The sequence below is a fragment of the Homo sapiens genome, chromosome 5 (genome assembly GCF_000001405.40).
Source record: "Homo sapiens chromosome 5, GRCh38.p14 Primary Assembly".
Classification (NCBI taxonomy): Eukaryota; Metazoa; Chordata; class Mammalia; order Primates; family Hominidae; genus Homo; species Homo sapiens.
The window spans coordinates 97089741-97110946 of NC_000005.10; the positions used below are offsets into that span (position 1 = coordinate 97089741).

A 21206-nucleotide genomic window follows, 5' to 3' on the forward strand; every position below is an offset into this window, starting at 1 on the left:
CCTTAGAGGTCTGGGTGACTGGGTCAGGCTCCTTGGGTGGCCTGTCCCACACAGTTTTGCCTTGTGTGCTCCTGTCTTTCCCTGCAGGCCCTGGTGAAAATAGGCTCTGAGAAGAGGCTTAGTGGCTGCCATTTTCATGTCACCCGAATGTTGCTGTTTCTAGTGGTACTAACTCAGACACTTTCAAAAGTTTTGTAGGAAACGCAGGAAAAAAAAAATCATCTCTTCCTTAGCAAGTCAAAAGTAGAAGAAGCCATGATCAAAAAAGGCAATAGGTCATGGGAATGGGTGGGGCGTTGGCAAGCAAATCTATGAGGGGACAAAGAGAAAATAAAGGGAGTGTCTGGAGAACCAGTCTGAAACTGAGAATTACGCTCCAGGGAGGTGTTTCCATATGATGCCCTAGACTCACAGCTGCTCCTTGTGGTACCTTCCTCTGCCCACTCACAACCTGTATAGGCTAGTCTGGGAAACTTACCACCATTTATGACCTTGATCCTATAGAAAAATGTATTATCCTCACAGTTGAACTAACTGACTTACAAATGGACTTGTGGAGCCCAGTTGGGGATAGAATTGGGAAGTGCCTATAAATAGGTGGCAATCTGGGACTTTTGCTTGGGAACGAACAACACTAGAGAATCAATAGCTCTCAAAAGAAGCTTCTGCTTGCCTTTTTCACCACCTACCTTGCTCCAAAGAGGAAAGTGTTACCGGGACTTAGTTAGATTTTAAAAAGTGACTTTAACCATGAGCTGATAGATATTTTTATGGTTTCTAGGAAAGGGATTAAAAGTAATACCAAATGTTGGGGCCAAAGTGATCAAAGAGCACGTGCTGCTCATTTGGGAGGTAAATGCAACACATCTTTTTGCCCCTTCTTCTCCCTAGCTTCCAGGAGGGGTGGAGAGGCAACCTTTCACACACTCCTTTATTCCTTTCTGTGCTCTCTCTGTAGAAGCCAGGGCTCTGCTGCCCAGTAAAGGATGTGTTAGGTAGCTTTGTCCCAGAAGATCTCAAGCTGAAGTGTGATCAGAAACACCTGGTGAAGTGGTACATAATCCAGACCCTCTCCTGGAATTTGGTTGCAAGGTCTAAGGTGCAGCCTAGGAAGCTGTATTTTTAAACAAGTAACCTATATGATTCTGGTGCAGATAGTTATCTATTATATTTGAGAAAGAGAGCTTGTACCCTGGGGCAGAATCTGGCTCTCCTGCTCAGATGAGGGGTGTTTGTACATGTATGCACATGTGTATGTTCTTGCCCTGGTTTAGTCCTGGGTTCCAGGAGAGACCTCTTATCCAAGCAAAAAAATGTGCTCCTATGCGGCTCAGAAGAGCTCCACATTTGAGTTTGAGGCCAAGGTCAAGTGGAGTAATAGTTCCCACTGGTTAGGCATAGACCTCTGAGCCAGTACTTCTGGAGAGAGCGGTGGTTATCAACCTTCTGCGTGCTAGAACTGCCTGGGGAGTTTTAGAAAATACTGATGCCTGTGCTCCACTCCCAGAGTCTGATTTCATTGGTTTGGGTACAGTCTGGACATTTAGGGTTTTTTAAAGTTCCTTGGGTATTTCTAATGTGCAGCCAAAATTGAGAACCACTGTTATAAGGAGAAGGATTTTCATTTTCCTAGAGCCTTGCTTAAAAACAATCTTAATGTTAGCCTTTAAGGATGGACAGTATAGAATAAATCTTGATATTTGCATTTCTGTAAGTCAAAACAAAAAAAAAATCAACAATATATGAGATAACATCTTAACTAATGTTTACCTTCGAATATAGCATAAAAATATTCTTAGTCCGGCTTCTTTCGTCCTTTGGATAAAAAGAAAGGCGTGGCATGATAAAACTCAGAATTCTCTAAAGCATCTCGGCTAGAGATAAAATCAACTGCAACAATGCCTCTGGCTTTGAAAACTTTCTCTAAAGAAACAGAAAAGTGTTAAACCTTTATGCTTTTGATTCTGTTTTTCCTGAGACTTAACTGATCAGATTCATAGTTGATATAGGTATAGCATTTCAGGAATATCTATGGTTTAATTCTTTTCCTTTTCTAGAAATAGGTAAATAAATTTAATAGCAAAAATAGGAGTGAGCTATAGCTTTTGAACAAATAGACAACCAAATTCTGAACATTAGAGGTACGACTTTATTAAATCTGTACTTTCTGACCCATTTATCCAAGTTTAGTGACAGTTTGCTCTAAACTGCTTTTTTAAAAACAATAATATGGTAAATTTGGATTTTGTGGAACTTAAACTATCTCATGTCAAACACAGTGCAATTTTGGATTTCAGGATTATGACAGTTGTGTTAGAAACAGGCTACCTGGGCTATGTCTGAGTTATGTTGGATCCCTGATGTAAAGTTTGACAGTGTATGTTGTGTTCAAAATCAACAGTTCTAAACAAGAATCTAAAGATCCCCTAGGGCAATCTCTGGACTTTGGGGGGTCCACATACTCTGGAACTGTGTAATGTGAATATGTATGTTTTGTTCTATTTTCCTAGGAGATGATCCACAGCTTTTATCAGATTCTCAAAGGGCTTATAACCAAAAAAGGCTAGGACCCAGAGCTTCATGTGTTTAAATAGGGAATCTTCCACTCTAGTCCCCTTTATCACAGTGTGTTGTTCAGAACAAGATATAGAAAAGGAAAAAAAAAATCTGCTTTGCTCTTCAACCCTCTTTTCTCTAGGCTATAGTTAAAGATGTTTATATGATAGACTGACAGCCCTTATGTCTCAGCTGAAATTGATTTACTATCAAATCAGCATTAAAGGGACCAGCAAAGATTCTGACTTTTATTTATTTTGCTGAAGCTTTCATACCATTCCAGGAAGAATGGGCAGTTTTGGCCAGTCAAGAAAAGCTGACAGTGGCCAAGGGAGAACCTCTATATTCAATTTACAGAATGGGTGCAGTTTTTAACTTGTAGGGCACAAAGTAAATTTGATATTGTCCCATCTGATCCCTGTCCCTGCATCTAATTAAGATGGTGTCAGTTTGAGGAAGTCATTGTCAAAGGCTGCTAATGCAGTAAAGGTGTGCCTAACTTTCATCACATCCAGCATGGGAAATTGTGGCTTTTTGGAAATGACAATGTAAAGAGTAATGGCTTTATGAAAGAAATTAACTTTAAATAGAACATTTCCTAAATTTTAAAATTTATTCAACATAAAAATGTTAATTCTGATTTCTTTTCAGGAATATAAGGGAATAAAGTTCTTTCGTGGGTGACATTTAGCCTCATTGTGGAGAGGAATGTAACTTTTGTTAAAATAATATTTTAAAATAAAATGTGTTGAAAATTACTGTTACCTTTAAAAGATATTAAGGTATGACAATTATGTAGCTAATTGTTCCCCTGGTGTGAGATATGTGATACATGATAATCTTTTATTATCAAGTCTAATTCCAAAATACATGATCAGTTACAGTAGTTTTCATGTGGATTTAAGGAGTGATGGTTACCTTTGTACATACTTATTAGATATGAGGTTAAAATATCATATTTTATAAACTTTAATGTAATTATAATGGTTTTGCTTTCAGTGAAGCATGTATGCACTTGCATAAACAAAAGAAAAAGAAATTATTTTAAATTGAGAAAAACATTTTCTTTAATTTGGACTACTGAATAAAATGCAGAATAATCATTTTCATGTTACAGATATGGAAAGACCTATGAGCATTTAAAATTGACATTGCTGACATTCTTAAATTTGAGTGACCAGGAACTATCTAAAAATTAGTTTAGGCCAGGCATGGTGGCTCACACCTGTAATCTCAGCATTTTGGGAGGTGGAGGCAGGCAGATGGCTTGAGCCCAGGAGTTCAAGACCAGCCTGGGCAACATGATGAAATCCCGTCTCTACTAAAAAAAAAAAAAAAAAAAAAGTTTTTATTGTTTTTTGATTTTCTAATCAGTTGATTGACCCATATGGATGAGTTAAATAGAGATGGCAATGTCTTATCCTTCCTTTAAAGAAGATTCCAGTGACTTAAACTTAATAATGATACTACATTTGAGCTACTGGTTGCTTATGTTCTTGAACAACAAACAGAGCTAAAGGGTCCTTCTCTCAAATGCTGGTGAAACTAATCAAATGCAAGCATTCTTTGTTACATGCTAATAATTTTTCAAAATGTTTTAACCTTTAAAATGCCATTAATTTTTCTCTCTGTAGATATATGTTTGCAGTGGCAAAAAATAAGAACAAATTAGTTCAGGTTATCGATTTGCAAATTAAAAATGAACAAAATTGATTGCAAGACTCATAAACATTGGATATTAATTCTTGAGGAATAAGAGTGAGGCTACTTTTCTAGGTGATATTTATCCCCATATATGGAAGAGTGTGGGTTTTAAAAATTATTGTTACAAAAACATTTTAAACATTAATTTTATCTAGTATTTTCATACTATTACTATTTCAAGATCTTTGATGGTGGGATGTCCAGATAAAATCCCCACTGTAGTTTGCAGTGTATCTAGTAGGACATAAACTATTGCTTAGCTTACAAAGCTTAGAAAGAGACTCTGATCCTTGGATATTTTTTAAAACAATCCATATTATTTATTTAATCCTAAGTATTTTTAAACACTGCTATCATGCTACTTCACCTAATTCTGGCTGCTGTTCATTTGGGGAATGCTATATTGGACTATTCTTGAAACAATATATATAAAATCAAGCAAGGCACGTGACAGTCAGGCTTTAGGTTGGAGCCAGGCCTGGAAAATGTTTTTCAAACAATTTTGTGTCTATCCTTTCATCCTGAGCTGGAACTATTGAGAATGTGATAGAAAAATGCATCGAGTGGCTTGTTGGGTCTTGTAAGGGTCCTACGACTCTCATACTCTGTAAATGGAATGTGTGGAGAGGGTTAGGAGAGCCTTCAGGTAGTACTAGAGATGCTGGAGCCTCTGAGGACCTCTGCACTGAGATTCCTAATGTTAATCTGGCCTCTGCCATCACTGAGGGTACCCGGGGCTTGGCCTTGCTAGTGATAGCCACACAGGGCCGTAAGGCTCAGCTGATCATCACTGGGTGAGGAAGTGTCAGGGTCACTGCAGATCTGAGTCAGGGCTAAGCTCAATATTTCTTTCTTTTCTTTGTAAAACCGTAGTTCTTGTCCTGCTTTCCTGGCTTCCTCCAACTGCCTCAGGGCCATTCGTAGCTCTTGAGAGACAATTCCTGGTGAGTCCCGCTCCTTCATGATCCAGTCCAGGGCCATGTGGCTGCGCATCTTTTCATCTAGAGAATACTGAGAATAGTAGGAGATGACTTCCTGGGGGCCAAGAAACAAAGTCCAGGGTGTCAATAAAAAGCAACAAAGGCACCCGTCCACATGCCTCCCCCTGCTTCCCACATCCATTAGGGTTTTATCAACAACCCCATCTCTCTCATGTTCAAAAACTGAAACCAAAACCCACTGGTTTACTTCTATAAAGGAAATGAAAGGCTAAGTTGGCCTAGCAAAGCACACCACTCCAGGTTGAGTCAAAACACACCACCAGGAATGACTCAATAATGTTCACCAAACATAGCTCTGCCATCTCTAGAAATACAAGCCGTTCACTGAAAATACATTCCTACAACAATTGGTGTGAATATGACCTCATTTATTCATTGAACCCTGTTGCCCAGCATTATTTCCTTTGGAAAGATAAAGAGAGGGAAGTAGCACTACAGAGGGTCTTGGGCAGAATGGGGTTTGGTCAAATCCACTGAAGAAAGCAGGAAGCTCTTAGTTAAGGGCATCTCAGAGTATCATTTAGAAACCAGGAGAATCAACTGTGGTATTAGCACAAGGGAGATGGTCCAACTGTCCCACAGTAAATACAGAAGGGAGTTTAGATGTATAATGGAAGGTAGACATCTCCATTATTGATATCATAATGATTCCTTCATGGTACATTGTCTTTTACTTTTACAAACAATTAAAAATTAGTTACTGCCTGTCAATTCTTGTGTGAAAAATTTGTCGATACATAATAACATCATATGTAGAGTTGATCATGTGGAGTGAATGCACTGCTTATTTTTATTTTCAAGAACATATGGTATGCATTTATGACCTTAACAAATTAAAAACAATCATGGAAAAGTGTTTATAACCCAACCAGCATATTTCAAAGGCCTTTTGTAAAATCAAAGGAAAAGGAAAAAAAACAAAACCAAAGCCATTGTCAGCTACTCATTTCTTTTCCATCTTTGACATCTGAAACCTAGACTTTCTAAGCAAAGAACAACTAAAAACTAGGGGGCTGCAGTGCATGGAAAGCTCCTTATACCCACCCTTACCTTGCTGACTCCCAGAGGCTTTCTTCCTCATACAAATTCCTATTAGGAAATTCTCAGAAATAAACTACCATCTTTCACATTCTAACGGTGGGTAGAGGAAGGATAAATCTTGGAGAACAACAGGTGAAAACCATTAAATACACAGGAGGGGGTTCACATTAGCTATTAAAAAAGGGGGAAGGGTGCTTCTCATAAATAACAAAGAAATAGTGAGACCGTGTCTCTGAAAAACAAAGAAGAAACTTCTAAACCAAAAAAATGGGAGTGATTAAATGCCGGCTTGTCAGACTTTATAATCATTTCTGTTGTTTATTGGGGACTTTTGGCAGGAATGGGAAATACTCTTCTCCTACCACCAACTTGGCCACTCTCCAGTGACGAGGTTTCAGAAGCAGTGCATTTTCAAGTTTCTGCCTCAGAAGGTACAAGAGGGCACACATTCCAAGGAGGCAGGGGAGGTGTATGGAGTAGATCCAGGATTTATTTAGAAGCTGTCTGCCTTTATGATCCTTTCGGTTTGCATTCGGTACAGGTATCTAAATCAGTCCTGTGCCCACGTTCTTTTTAGTGTGTATATTTGTCAGTCCCTGACTCAATGGGGCTGTTCTATATATTTCTTTGTGTGTCCTCTGCTCTTAATAAATAAGGTACCAAATTTATATTTGGAAAAATCCGAATAAAGGAAATCTCCTGGGAAGATGATAAGCCACCTGCTGAGTTCATATAACACAGACTTAGACTTGATTAGAAAATCTTACCTGTCGGGAACACTTTGTTTCACGAAGGGCTTTTAGGCTTCCATTCCAGTGCAATAGTTGGAAAATGGTCATCAGCTCCTACAAAACCCAAACACCTATCATTGGTCCCAAAGCAGAAATGTGCATTGGTGAGAGCTGAGCAGGGCATAACTCTAATTCCCAAATATATCAGGAAACAGAATACACAATATTGTCACAACACTTTGGGACTTTCCCAAGCCCAGGGTCCCAGGGCTTCTGGAACATTCTTCTCTTCCTCCTTTGCTATATCCATAGCATTACATTACATTACTTGTGTAATGAAATGACTAAATACTTGACAAATGTCTTTCAGCATTAAAAATAATACACTGAAGAGTTCTACACACAAGAAGTTATTTAAATATACCAGGATATCTGAGAAATAGTGTATAGGCAAGGTTTTACATTGTATCATTTTTTAAAATTGCTCGAGACTGACAGCATCTTAAATGGTCACTTTTAGAGGAATGGCTAAAGTATGATATATCCATACTACTGAACACTTTGCAATCATAAAGAAAGGATGAGAACGTTCCATAAGTTTAAATAGAAAGAATTCTATGATGTGTTAAAATAAAACAAGGTACACAACAGTGTGTAATGTGTGCTACTATTTGCTTAAGAAGATCGCTATATACATGTTTGCTTGTAAATGCCTAGAAGAGTTCTAGTAAGATACAAAAGGATCTGGTAACTTTAGCTGTCTCTGGAATGCCAGAGGAATGCCTGGGGGACAGGAGTAGGAGGGAGACCTTCTTGTGACATTATTTTGCAAAACTTACTGAGTTTTGAATCATGTGACTATGTTATATCTTAAAACCATTTAACTCTAAAAATTTTAAGCCAAAAAATAAATATACAAATATAGTTAAATAGCATTTATAGGACGCCATTAGTTTGGACAGAGCTACTGCATTAGGCTTAATAGATCAAATCAAAATGGAGTCACTCATGCTGAAGTTCTAGATTGCCGTGCTGAAACTAAGCTGTTTATCTGAGCTTCCTAGAAATCAGGACAAAGAGAGAGATAACAGCCAAATCCCCAAACAAGCCAGTTTTAGCCGGCATAATAAAGAAGTCCCCTCTGCTTTAATCTTTACAAGAGAAGTAACTATGAAATGACCAATCCATTTTTGTCCTCTGTTTCTACCTTCTTCAGCCCTTTTCTGCCTAAAGCCAACTTCCTCTGCTCAGCTCATCGGAACGCTCATTCTGTTTTACGGAAGGAGGTGTTATGCAATTCTAAAATTGCAAGTAAAAGTCAGCTAGATCGTTAAACTAAATTTATTGTAATTTTGTCTTTTGACAATATAAAGCATATAATGAACAAACTACAGAAACTGCTCAATACTCCTAAATTTATAAATTCAGTCAAGAAAAATGCCTTGAAATATAGACAATAAGGTTGTATTGACATTCAAACTCACCCATGGTTTCCAAATCCAAGAGCCAGGGCTGAGCACAGCATTCAGACTATCAGCACCATCATTTCCTTGCCTTTTGTGGTATCAAAGGCAAGCTAAGGTGTATAAGTTTACTGAAGATTTTCATTTTCCTAATGCGGTTACAATTAGAAGTTTTCCACTGAAATTATTTGCATTTCAGTTATAGTTTTTTTTGGTCAGAGATACATCTATTGTGGATTAATAGCCTGTGGTTATTGAAATTATTGAAAAATAACTCTATATGATCAAGGAACTTTCATGTCTTAAAAAATAGTTATGAAAACTTAACATAGACAGATGTCCTACTGTCCATTCAAAAAAGCTTTTAGCTGGGCACGGTGGTGTGTGCCTATAGTTCTAGCAACTTGGGAGGCTGAGGCAGGAGAATTGATTGAGCCCAAGAGTTTGAGACCAGTCTGGGCAACATAATATTTTATCTCTTAAAACAAAACAAAAAAGCTGACTTCAATTAACTGTCTTTACATCTGCTTGCTTGGGAAGAGGTTCTCTTATGAAAATCAGGAGACTCATAGTCAGGTTTTAGGCATCTTAAAATTATTTGGTAAATTTTAAAGCTATCAGATTATTAGAAGAGCAAATAGCACTTCTCTCATGTCTAAAATTGCCATTGGAATGAAATGTTTTTCTTCTTTTCTGTCAGAGATCCAGTTTGGCATTCTGTCTAAGTTCACTGCACAGTAAGTACTCTGAGAGCCCACAGACACCTCAGTAAAAGCAAAACCACTTGTGTCTGCTAATTAAAACACACATGAATACCAGCTGAGCTGCTCCTTCTGCCCGCCCCCAGATGGAGACCTCCCTGTCTGCACAGGGTCCTCGGTCCAGTGCCCAGGGATGGCTGTCCCCTCCTGGCCCCTCTCCTCCACATCTTCCTGCCCTTGTTCAGACTTTCACTTCATCACGTCAGTATGCTAATTTGAAAAAGTGGGAGTGCTTTGTTCGAGAAACCAAATCTCGTCCAATCTGGCTGTCACTGCTGTTCCTCTCAGGCTTTCCATCAAAGTGGCCCCAGTGGCTGAGAAGGGCAAATTTGTGTTGCCCTTCCTACCATACTAACAAACCAACTCACCGAATACTTTGAAGCCATAAAAATGAATGGGAAGATTGTTTTAATATTTGGGAACCAGTCTCTATGATGTAACAGGAGGGCCAATATTTGTAAATAAGAAAAATTTTTTGGTTTTATGTCTTATAAAGATCCACTCAAATTTTGCATTCTATTGTGTATGTCCATTTTTAGAAAAGAGAAAATAAATATTGGCCAGGTGTGGTGGCTTGTGCCTATAATCCCAGCACTTGGGAGGCTGCGGCAGGTGGATCACTTGAGGTCAGGAGATGGAGACCAGCCTGGGCAAAATGGTGAAAACCTGTTTCTACTAAAAATAAAAAAATTAGCCAGGTGTGGTGGTGGGTACCTGTAATCCCAGCTACTCGGGAGGCTGAGGCAGGAAAATTGTTTGAACCTGGGAGGCGGAGAGTACAGTCAGCTGCGATCGCGATACCACACTCCAGCCTCGGCAAGTGAGTGAGACTCCATCACAAAAAAGAAAATAAATATCACTCCACTCCTCCGTTTGACCCCCACAACCCTAAATCTTTATGTAAAGTTGAGAACTCAGACACATATACTGGATTTATTTTGTGGCTTCCTATAGCTATCTATCTTGGCATTGTTCTTGCATCCTTGTGGCCCAGTTTGAGAAACAGCCTATTGCTAACAGGGCTCTTAATTCCATCCTCTGATAACTGTTGACTTAGAAACATACTATTCTTCCTCTGGGGTCTTCTGGGCTCTTTTTCTTATCTATACACTAACTGCTCTCCCCGCCCCATAAGGGACTATCATTCCACCCTGAAAATCTCCTAAGACTTTAGAATTCACAACTCTTCTGTGAACAGAACCAAAACCCTTTCTCATGCCCCTTGACAACCTTCATCTTTCAAAAATGTCCCCAAAGAGACTTGAACTGCTTTCGTCTCCAGGATGAAGGTCAACCTCCTCACCACCTCTGGTTTGTCTAAATTTCTATCCCATCACGAAGCAGCTTTTTTTTTCTCTCCAGTAACACAACTGCCACTTCCTCAGTGTTGCTTTTGTTCTTAACATTCCCTAGGGAAGATGACCTCCTTTCCAACTTCTTACATTATATCCCCATCTAGTTTTTGTCCTCTGTAGAGATATTCATCTTGCCATCATTATATAAAGTATATTTAAATATTTTCACATATTTTTTGTCTCACTTCTTTATTTCCCCTCATAAGACCAAATTCACTCTCTTCACATTTTCCCAAAACTATTAGCTCTTGGCTCAACTCCAGGAAATCTTTGCATGCCTCTGACTGATTCCATTGGAAATCCTTGCATGATTGCAGAGTGGGAAGGAGAGGGCTGCTGTGGAGTTCTGCTTACTAGTTTCCCCATGATTCTTTGCTGCCTGGTGTTCGCTGGCTCATATTCTACCTGGAGAAGCTCTGTTACTCTAAAGGAAGTTAGTGTAGTCAGGTGCTGTGGAATGTCCCAGCTACTTGGGAGGCTGAGGCAGGAAGATCATGAGTTTGTGCCCAGCCTGGGCGAAATAGTAAGACCTCTGTCTCAGAAAAAAAAAAAAAAAAGAATATATATAAATTTTTTTTTAAATAAAGGAAATTAGTGTTGTCTTTTCCTGTGAGGGTCTGTCATAGTCCTCACGGAAGTCTTTTGGGGTGTGGTGTTTTGTTTGTGGGGTAATCTGGAAGCCTGAGGGGCCCAGCTGCACCAACAGAAAAACAAGTTAGCCTCATAAGGTGAGGCAGGTGAGGCAGGTGAGGCAGGTGAGGCAAGGTTTAAAGTGAGTGGGGCCAATTATACATGTTCATGGTCTTTTATTTATAATTCTGATATTTTGTTTATCGTGAATTTTTGGCATGAATTTTGAGTTTAAAAAATAATGCATTATAATATTATTTATCTTGATTATGAAGTTTTTAAGCATCCCTTTCAATTTTGTACCCAAGAGAAATGTGTCACTTGCCTAGCCCTTGTCTGTCCCCTTCTTGTGGCTCTGTCTCAGGGGCAAGCCCAGCTTCATGGGCATGAGGTCTGTGCAGCTGTACAGGGCCCCTGCTTTGTTTAGTGCTCTGCTATCTTGAAATTCTTGGTAATTTTTGAACAAGGGCCCCTGGATTTTCATTTTGCACTGGGCCTGGCAAATTATCTAGCTGGTCCTGACCAGCGGAGTAAATTTAATATAGAACGAAGAATCAAGCTGTGTGTTTTCTTTCCTCTTCGGGGAAAATTTCAGTTGCAGCTCTCACTCTACAGCTTTCCTGGTTTATTTTGTCATTCATTTCATGTAAACAGACAACAACGGGGCTCTGTCCTCACAGCCTTTCCTGGGGTTGCCTCTGTTAGAAACAATGTTGGGCTTTTCAGCTACTTGTGGAGAGAAAATGCTCACTGCTTCTCTTTGGAACTCTTTCTAGGAGACGGGTTTGGCTCTGTGATTCATCAGAAATAAGAAAAACAAACACTGTAAATGGAGAACTTGAAAAAGAGGTGGGCACCATCTCCCCACCCAAGAGAATGGATTTAAGAGGAAATTTGTTTATGGGATGAAGTTTTAAAAGGCGACCTGGAAAATTTAGCAAAGATGTAAATAAACAACTCTTCCTTGGATTGCATTAGGCTTCAGAATAAATATATTAACCAGCTTCAGTCAAAGTCTGCCTAGAATCTGACCCTGACAAGACCCAGTGACTAGTGCTGCTCCGAACCTTCCCCACCAACAGCAGGCAATTTTCTCTGTGGCAAAGCTACCTCGAAACAGGCATCCAGGCTTCCCTCCCACGAAGTGAAGGTAAGCAGAGGCCTATCATGTTTCCTCTGAGTGCTGGCTGCAGGACGCCCCCCCACCCCGCCCCGAAAGCCCGAGGGCAGTCTGGAGACACCAGCTTGTTTTTATATGGTAGAGTCATCCATAGCTAGATACAAACACACATCTATTACCCACCAGGGGTACTGAATTGCTGTGTTGGCTGCAGAAACAGCCCAGGTCTGTGGGCAATTCCCATTATGTGTAGACACAAGCAGAAGCATTTAACCCAGGCCACTAAGGAATGTGCCAGGTCCCAGCAGGCAAGCTAGGGCTGGTGGAAGGAAAAGGGATGCGCTCCATAGGCCCTCCTCCTGGGTTGCCAGTATCCCTACTAGGGAAGGGAGTTTGGATTTTCCCTGCCCTCACATCTTCCTCTTCCTTTGTCTCCATCCTGTATCCAGACTCCTTTAGGAGAATTTATGAAGCATGTCCACAGTAAGATTCAAATTATTATTTCACAAATTTAAATACCTTACTACAGACCACACAGAAAACACATAGCCTATGCAAAGCAATTAAACTATTACTAAAAGAAGGTTGAGTAGAGCCTTTCATAGTACTTGGAAGGAATTTTAAGACTTTTTTTTTTTTTTTAAATCTCACCTTCCCCCATCTTTGGCAGACTAAACCAATCACATTCAAAATCATTCTTAATTTTTCCAAAAATAGCGCTAAATCACATACAAGCTACTGTGTACTGGGGCAGGCAATGTTCATTCCATAATAAAAGAACTACAATATTATTTGGAGGGGGAACAGGAATTAAATGAAATTCCTGCTTAGGGGAAGCATTATGCCAGATGCTTTATAAATGTTACACTACTTAAATCCCGCAAAAATTCTACAAAATGGGCATTATTATTCCTATTTTATAGATGAGAAAACTGAGTCTCAGAATGGACAAGCTCACAGATGGCAAGTGGTAGAGCAGACTTCACACATAGGTCTGTATGACTTTTTAAAGTTTATATTCTTTCTCTTGAAAAAATACCTCTTTTTAAAAGTATTATTCCTCTGTTTAGTTTTAGATTGTTATGAAAAAAAAAGGACCTTTTACAGATCGACTCTTTTATCCTACAATAGGGGCTCTGAACCATTTTGTGTAGGTTCAAATAGAGCTAGGTTAGACAGAGTTGTCAACGGAATCCATCCAGTAGCCTCTGGCATTTCAAGCAAAGATTCCTTCAGAAATACATCTAATAATAGTTGTTCATCTTCACTGAGCATTCATTATACCCCATGCACTCTTCTGGACTCTACGCATATCATCCCATTTAATCCTCACAATAGCACTGTGAGGAAGGTACTGTTATTCTCTCTGATTTACATACAAACGAGGAAGTAGATTTTGAGGTAAGGAAAAGAGCCAGGCTCAAACTGGCCAGCCCGCTGCAGAGTCTGGGTCAGAGCCACTGGGCTGACATGTGCCCCATCCACTAGGCTTAAAGGATACTTTGTTGCTTCCTAACCAAGACAGGCTACGTCAAAGGTCAGTAAGACCTTGGCCACTTAAGGATAAAACTGGATGACTAAGGCCGGGCACGGTGGCTCACACCTGTAATCCTAGCACTTTGGGAGGCCAAGGCGGGCAGATCACGAGGTCAGGAGATGGAGACCATCCTGGCTAACACGGTGAAATCCCGTCTCTACTAAAAATACAAAAAATTAGCCGGGCATGGTGGTGGGCGCCTGTAGTCCCAGCTACTCAGGAGGCTGAGGCAGGAGAATGGCTTGAACCTGGGAGGCAGAGCTTGCAGTGAGCCAAGATCAGGCCACTGCACTCCAGCCTGGGCGACAGAGCTAGACTCCGTCTCAAAAAAGAAAAAAAAAAAAAAAAAGAAAAACTAAGATTTAGGATGGGTGAAGAAAGAGCATTTTTGCCGCAATCATACAGAAGGCTAATAAAATAATATTTATTTTTTAATAATGTGCATGGGGACATTTCCATCTGAGAAGTGGCTGTGCCATTGGGGTCAGGAAAGGAGTTTGAAAGGTACCAAAGAAGGTATTTGAAAGTTGTGGCTTCAGAAGGGCTCAGCTCACCATTGTAAATTACACCGTGAGGAACATTTTGCCCATAAAACCTTATACCTCTGATTGCTTCTTGGAATATAACCTAAGAAAACAATTTCTAAGGTGAAGTCTCTTTATTATATTGCATTCTGATTCCTACCAGCATTGCATGTTTATGGATGTTCAACTGCACTGGAGTTAAGTTTTTTGAAGGGAAGCACATTTCATGCCCAATCACTACTAAAATTCTATCTGTCCAGCCTGATATAGGATAATAGATGTGTGAGCTCAGAGATCAGACTGCCTGACCCTGAACCCTAGCTTCAATGATAACATGAGGATAACGATATTATCCACCTCATACAGTTATTGTGAGTGTTAAATTATGACACTATTTGTTAAATGCTAAGCACGGGCCAAAGTAAGCATCCATAAATGTCAGCTGTTATTACTGCTGTTGTTACTAATATATTTTAGAAATAATAGGTAATATAGTTCCTCAACTCTTGTTATCATTTGTCGGCAGTGGATGAAAAAGAGTTACAGATTGTTAATTTTTTTGATTTCATTGATGATAGGAAGTGGCAGAACTTGTTTAATAGAAAACCAGACCCAAGTAGGGTATTGTTTAACGTGCACTGCAGGAACTTTCAGAAGTCATAGGACTTCTGAAAATTAAGAAGCAAATGGTAACAACCAACATGTCAAACTGTTATCATTGGTTTAGTGGGGAGCTTTGTACTGAAAAGCTGGTGAAACATTACAGAATCCCTTATTTCTTAGATTTGTGTTTTACTTTCTTTTATAAAAGCAAAGATTGTTTCCTGATTGCGTGTTTGTTTACGCCTATGATGTGTGGCCGAGATGGGGCTACCATGCTGGATTCCAGGAGGGTTAGATTAAAATGACCAAAAACACTTAAGACCAAAAGATTATTGGGTCGGGAGATGTTAGTGATAAATGTTGCATTTCTCTTAGGCTTCTGGATTGGATAATCAAACAAATATGTGGCAGGCAGGCAGGTACCTGAAACTCCAGCATAGTCTTCCCCATGTTTGACTCCAGCATGTAGTGATAGGCCCCAACACTGGTGCTGGGGTCATCTGCATCATCTAAGGTGCCCTTGGGAAAGAAAGCAGAAAAAGAAAAATTACTGATTTTTCCTCCTCTTCTTTGAATGGTCACAAATTAATTCTGTGACCACACAGTAAGCCTATTTTTGGTCTAACCTGAACAGATGTTCACAACCAAGTCTCCAGTAGATTTGAGAGTTTTGTCATCAATTTGAATTGAGCGTTTGATAGAATACTAACTGTTATATACTCGCTGATAGAATAATTTTCCAAAAGAAGACATTTCTGTACGATTGCACAGGGTTTTGGTGGTGGTGGTGTTAACATTTGCATGGCTGAGCTCCGAAACTGCCTTCGTTGGCTATTGAAATCTTGAAACACTGACTTTGCTCTGATTCCAGTGATAACCAGGCAAGATTACATAATTGACATGGAAAGAATTTGTCAGTTTTATGGACCATTCAGCTTTTACTGCCGTGATTCTTAATAGGAACTTTTCGTAATATGCTGGTGTTTAGCCTGGAGACATGGATCATGGTTTATATTTTTTCAGTCCTGTACCACTGAATCTCTAGGAAACGAGGTGGGTGGGTGATGGGTAGAAATGAAATTCCCTTTCCATTTGGGTGTGGGGAATGGCGCTAAGAAGCTAACACGACTCTGGCGTGGCTTTTGGGCCAGCCCTTCCGTATCCTATGGACGCGGATTCCCGGGAAGGTGGGCAATGGTGACTTTGTGAGATGGAACAAACAAGTGCCAGCACAGATAGCAGCAAATTTATAGCTTTTGAATGCAATAACATTAACACACTGCTGCTGAAATATTTATGTTGGCTTTTTAAATATCCCAGAGGAAATCCATCTAGAAGCATGCAACCATGTATATTCTGTTTCCTTAGAAATTTCCATTTAAAAAATGATAAATTACTTTTACACTGAGGGCCCTTCCCTGCTCCTGAGTAAATTTCACACTTATATAAATCAGGCATAATTTTCCTAACCTCTCTTCCTCAAAAGCACTTGAAATTTACAGGGCTGGAAAATAAAGGCTTCCTTTCATCCTCAGACCAGATATAGAACAGAACTCCCTGGCATCTCCCAGCCAAGTCAATCACTCTTCTTCTCCTGCTCCTTCCTTATCTCTCCTTTATGTGATAAGAAGATTTATGAGGGGAAAAGGGTCACATCTAGTCTGATAGTGTTTCCTTCATCATCATCAGCTTCGCCAGAATGACAGAGCCTTCCTAGTTAAGGGAAACAGAGAAGGAAATCTCAGGTGGGGTTTATCCGTGCTAAAGGCAAACCAGAGGTGGCTAATCCCTTTGGTAATGCCAGGTTCCTGCCCTTGAGCACACACAGGGCGATACTTGCCACAGGTGGGGACTGAAGGCTTCTTTCTTGGCTTATAGTTTGGAAGCAATGGGAGTTGGGAGCTCCAAATCATTCATGGGACAAATATCCTGTCTTATATTGCTTAAAAAAAAATCCTATCTAATTTTTAAGACAGGGTGTTTTGCTCTTAAAGCACTTTGCATTTAATTGTGTTAATTACAGAAATTTTCAATGCTCTCTGAAGAGGTAATTGATATTAACCATGGTAATTCTAATAGCTAACACATATTGGGCATACGGTTTTTCACATGTCTAAACAGTCCATGTTTCCTTAAAAATGCAGATTGCAGGGCCCCACACTGGCTGGGGAATTCGCACTTCCAGTAAACACTTCAGATGATTTTCATGATCTTTCAAGTTCGGGGAAAATGGAGCTCGTTTTCCACTAGATTAAAGCAGTATTCCACTGTATGCGTTCTCAGGCCCTAAAAGAATCAACACTCCTCAATAAGTAAACATTCACTTAAACATATCCAGGTGGATCCAATGATCTACCTTGATTTAAAACATGATTAATTGTGATCAGAGAGATTAAAAAATATTATTGAGATGTGTGATATTATGATTTCCAATTTAAGTATTCTGTTTTCTGAAAATTAACAATTCAGTGGGTAAAAATTGAATCTACAGAATTCTTAAAATAAGAATTTGCTCATGTTAACATCTCTCAAGATTCAAATGCTTCAGAATTCTCAGTGCAGCCATCTCCTGCCCTCCATGGTGGGTACTCACGCTGGTGGAGGCTACTGCTTCCTGAACACTTTCCATAATGAATTCCTTGGTGATCCTGCGAGAGGGCAGCTCATTGAAGAGGGAGTTGATCAGGGCCACTTTAGCTGCATCCCGCCTGGCCTCGGCTCTACTTAAGCAGCACTTGAGAAGGGAGGGAGAAAAGGAGTCATTTGAGAATTTAGCATTTCACCATTCCACTCCTGCATCAATGGGTCTCTGGACATTTCTATTTATACATTTACTGTCCGCATCTATTCTGTTCATATACATTGCTAATTTCCCTGAAGGTCACGCAGATTTTCCTTCAGCTCTAGAGTTCGTGCAAATGTCTTGGTTGATCTTCAATTACTTATTGTCTTATTTTATAGTCATTGAATGTCTACTATATGTCAGAAGCTTTGCATACTCTATTAATGAGTAATGATAAATTAATAATGGCTATTATTGTGTGCTAGATAATTTATATTCATTATCAGGGCCTTCCTCAAATCCCTATTTCAGAAAAAAAATGTAAGGAAAGGAGAAAAGCAAGGAATCTGGAAATACTTGTAACAATAATTAAGAACACAAATTCTAGAGTCAGACTGCTTTCAGCTCTGGCATTTACTAACTATAAGACCTTGAGTAGGTTCATTAGTCTCTCTGCACCTCAATTTCCTCCTCTATAAAATGGGAATAATAGTAGGGTTGAGGTTAGGATCAATTGGTTAATATAGATGAAGCACTGGAAATACCTGGCACACAGTAGCACTTATGAGAACAGGCCAGCCAGACATTTTTATCTCCAGGTTAGTACAAGGGTGCTGCTGTCAATATCTATTGCTTTTGCATTTGCAACATTTGTCCCCCACCTTCCTTCTAGTAACAGTTCCCTGATTTTCTTGAGGACTAGGATTTCTCCCTTGGTCTCAATCCATGCGGTTTTGCTGGGACATACTGCATTCAAACCTTCTTGAAGTTAGGGCCATAGGCAGCCTATGATTAGTGACTCATAAAAAAAATTCACTCCTCTCAAATATAATATTGTGCTCCATCCTGCTAGACTGGCTTTCTGTGGCTCATATGGATCTGGTCGATGCATCCTGATTCTTTTCTGTCCTCCCTGCCTCTGAACAACTAACAACTCCCATTTTTCAAGTTCTGGTTTGGCATCGTTCCTGGGGTTGCAGATAGAGGGACAAGCCCCATAAGTACTGGACTGTCCCTGGAGCCCATACCTTTTGGAGAGCCCAGGAGTTGATGGCCTCTCTCCTACAGGCTCCTGTGAACCCAGGGATAAGTGTCTAGGATCTTGGACTCCTAGGGGGAAACAAGAGAAGTCCAGGCCTGGGTCCTGGTCAGTGGGGTGGCCGGGCACCCCTGACTGTGCTTCTTAGAAACCTGGACCACCTGAACTTTGGGAGCTAATCTTCTCATTGGACAAATAGGGAGGCTAGGCTGTCTGATCTCCAAGGCTCCTACTACCCAAAATGCATGATTCTCAGAATCAGTAGTTCTTGGTGATTGATGGGAAAGAAAAGGAAAAATAGCAAATACCACGCTTCATTTTACAGTTTCACAGAGCAAGGGTTCTGTGCCACCAAACAAAGAAAGCCAAATCCCTCTCATTTGCTTTCACAACATCCCCACCTCCATCCTATCTGCCCTCTGTTGACTATCTCTGCACTGTCCCGGGAACGCTCCAGACTTATGCTCTCGTGTCCTCTAGAGACCTGTCTCTCCTCCCCATCTCCACAAACCTAGTTGGAGTGCCCTGAAGCCAGTTTCCAAGTCCTCTGTGATTTTCCCTCAAACCTTCTAGAACAGTAGTGCCTATATATTGTAAAGACCGTGTCCTTGACTATGGGTAACTTCTTGCCCACCCCTTCTCCCAGCCTCCGGGCCTGGGAGGAGCCCTCATATACTTTTGTTTTTAAAGACTGATTCTCCTGTCACCCAGGCTGGAGTGCAGTGGTGCAATCTTAGCTCACTGCAACCTCCACTTCTTGGGCCCAAGCGATCCTCCCACCTCAGCCTCCTGAGTAGCTGGGTCTACAGGCACTTGGCACCATACCTGGCTAATTTTTGTATTTTTTGTAGAGACAGGGTCTCACTATATTGCCCAGGCTGGTCTCAAACTCCTGGGCTCAAGCGATCCACCTGCCTTGGCCTCCCAAAGTGCTGGGATTACAGGTGTGAGCCACTGGCCCCCTCATATATTTATTTCTTTTTTTATTTTATTTTTTATTTCAATAGTTTTTGGGATACAGGTGCTTTTAGGTTATGTGGATAAGTTCTTTTGCGGTGATTTCTGGGAATGCGGTGATTTCTGGGAATTTGGTGCACCTGTCACCAGAACAGTATACTCTGTATCCAATATGTAGTCTTTTATCCCTCACCCCCCTCCCAATCTTCTCCCCCAAGTGCCCAAAGTCCATTATATTATTCTTATGCCTTTGCATCCTCATAGCTTAGCTCCCACTTATATGTGAAAACACAATATTTGGTTTTCCATTCCTGAGTTACTCCACTTAGAATAATGGCCTCCAGCTCCACCCAAGTTGCTGCAAAAGACATTATTTTGTTCATTTATATGGCTAAGTAGTATTCCATGGTGTACCCCATCTTCCTTATTCGCTCATTGGTTGATAGGCACTTAGGTTGGTTCCATATTTTTGCAATTGCAAATTGTGCTGCTATAAACATGAGTGTGCACGTGTCTTTTTCATATAATGACATTTTTTTCTTTGGGTAAATTCCCAGTAGTGGAATTGCTGGATCAAATGGTAGTTCTACTATTAGTTCTTTAAGGACTCTCCATACTGTTTTTGTATATTACTTGAGCATCCTCCACTGGCTAAGCCAGGCTCAGCACTTGGAGATGCTTGTACATGGTGAGTGTGTTGATGAAATAATTACAAGACTTTTGAAATGGCAAGAACATGACACTGAGGAGAATTAAAACAAACACAAATTAAAAAATAACAAAAACCAACCAAACAAACAACATTTGCCAGGAGACTAACAAAGCAGAACAATTAAGGGCAGGCAGAAGAAGATATTATAACTTACAATAAAGAGTGATTTATTTATTTTATTTTTTTTAATTTTTTTTGTGAGATGGAGTTTCACTCTTGTTGCCCAGGCTGGAGTGCAATGGCGTGATCTTGGCTACCTACGCCTGCAACCTACGCCTCCTGGGTTCAAGCAAGTCTCCTGCCTCAGCCTCCCGAGTAGCTGGGATTATAGGCATGTGCCACTACGCCTGGCTGATTTTGTATGTTTAGTAGAGATGGGGTTTCTCCATGTTGGTCAGGCTGGTCTCGAACTCCCAACCTCAGGTGATCCGCCCGCCTTGGCCTCCCAAAGTGCTGAAATTGCAGGCATAAGCCACAGTGCTGGGCCCAAAGAGTGATTTTCTATATAGCTGTTGAATGAAGAATGGAGCTAAAGTTCCAAAATGAGTGTGGAAAGTAGTTTTTTTTTTCTTTTTTCTTGGTGTTGACACACAAGAAGGCTTTGGGGGAAGCTTTAGACAGCAAGGCCATTCAAGGTTTAGACCTCTTCTAAGTTTTAGGCAACTTGTATGAAACCAGAATGGGTTTGAC

At 40.2% G+C, this 21206-nt stretch overlaps 1 protein-coding gene and 1 long non-coding RNA gene across 4 annotated transcripts in view; one reads left to right on the forward strand and one right to left on the reverse strand.

Moving 5' to 3' along the window:
• LIX1-AS1 (LIX1 and RIOK2 antisense RNA 1) overlaps window positions 1-21206 on the forward strand; it is a 40691-nt gene that overhangs the window by 16016 nt on the left and 3469 nt on the right. Inside the window, exons 5-7 of one of the 3 annotated variants that reach the window (NR_187470.1) lie at window positions 9197-9233; window positions 12019-12392; window positions 13286-13354. This is a non-coding gene — a long non-coding RNA (LIX1 and RIOK2 antisense RNA 1). Of the gene's footprint in view, window positions 1-9196; window positions 9234-12018; window positions 12393-13285; window positions 13659-21206 lie in introns of those variants that run through there. The other 2 variants (NR_187472.1, NR_187471.1) reach the window with 2 other exon arrangements.
• The window catches only part of LIX1 (limb and CNS expressed 1), a 50745-nt gene continuing 31665 nt past the window's right edge, over window positions 2127-21206 (reverse strand). The window contains exons 3-6 of the mRNA NM_153234.5: window positions 17620-17760; window positions 15450-15545; window positions 7070-7147; window positions 2127-5295 (exon numbers count right to left, since the gene is read on the reverse strand). Coding sequence (NP_694966.3) covers window positions 5008-5295; window positions 7070-7147; window positions 15450-15545; window positions 17620-17760 — 603 coding nt within the window. The 3' untranslated portion in view covers window positions 2127-5007. The remainder of the gene's footprint in view (window positions 5296-7069; window positions 7148-15449; window positions 15546-17619; window positions 17761-21206) is intronic.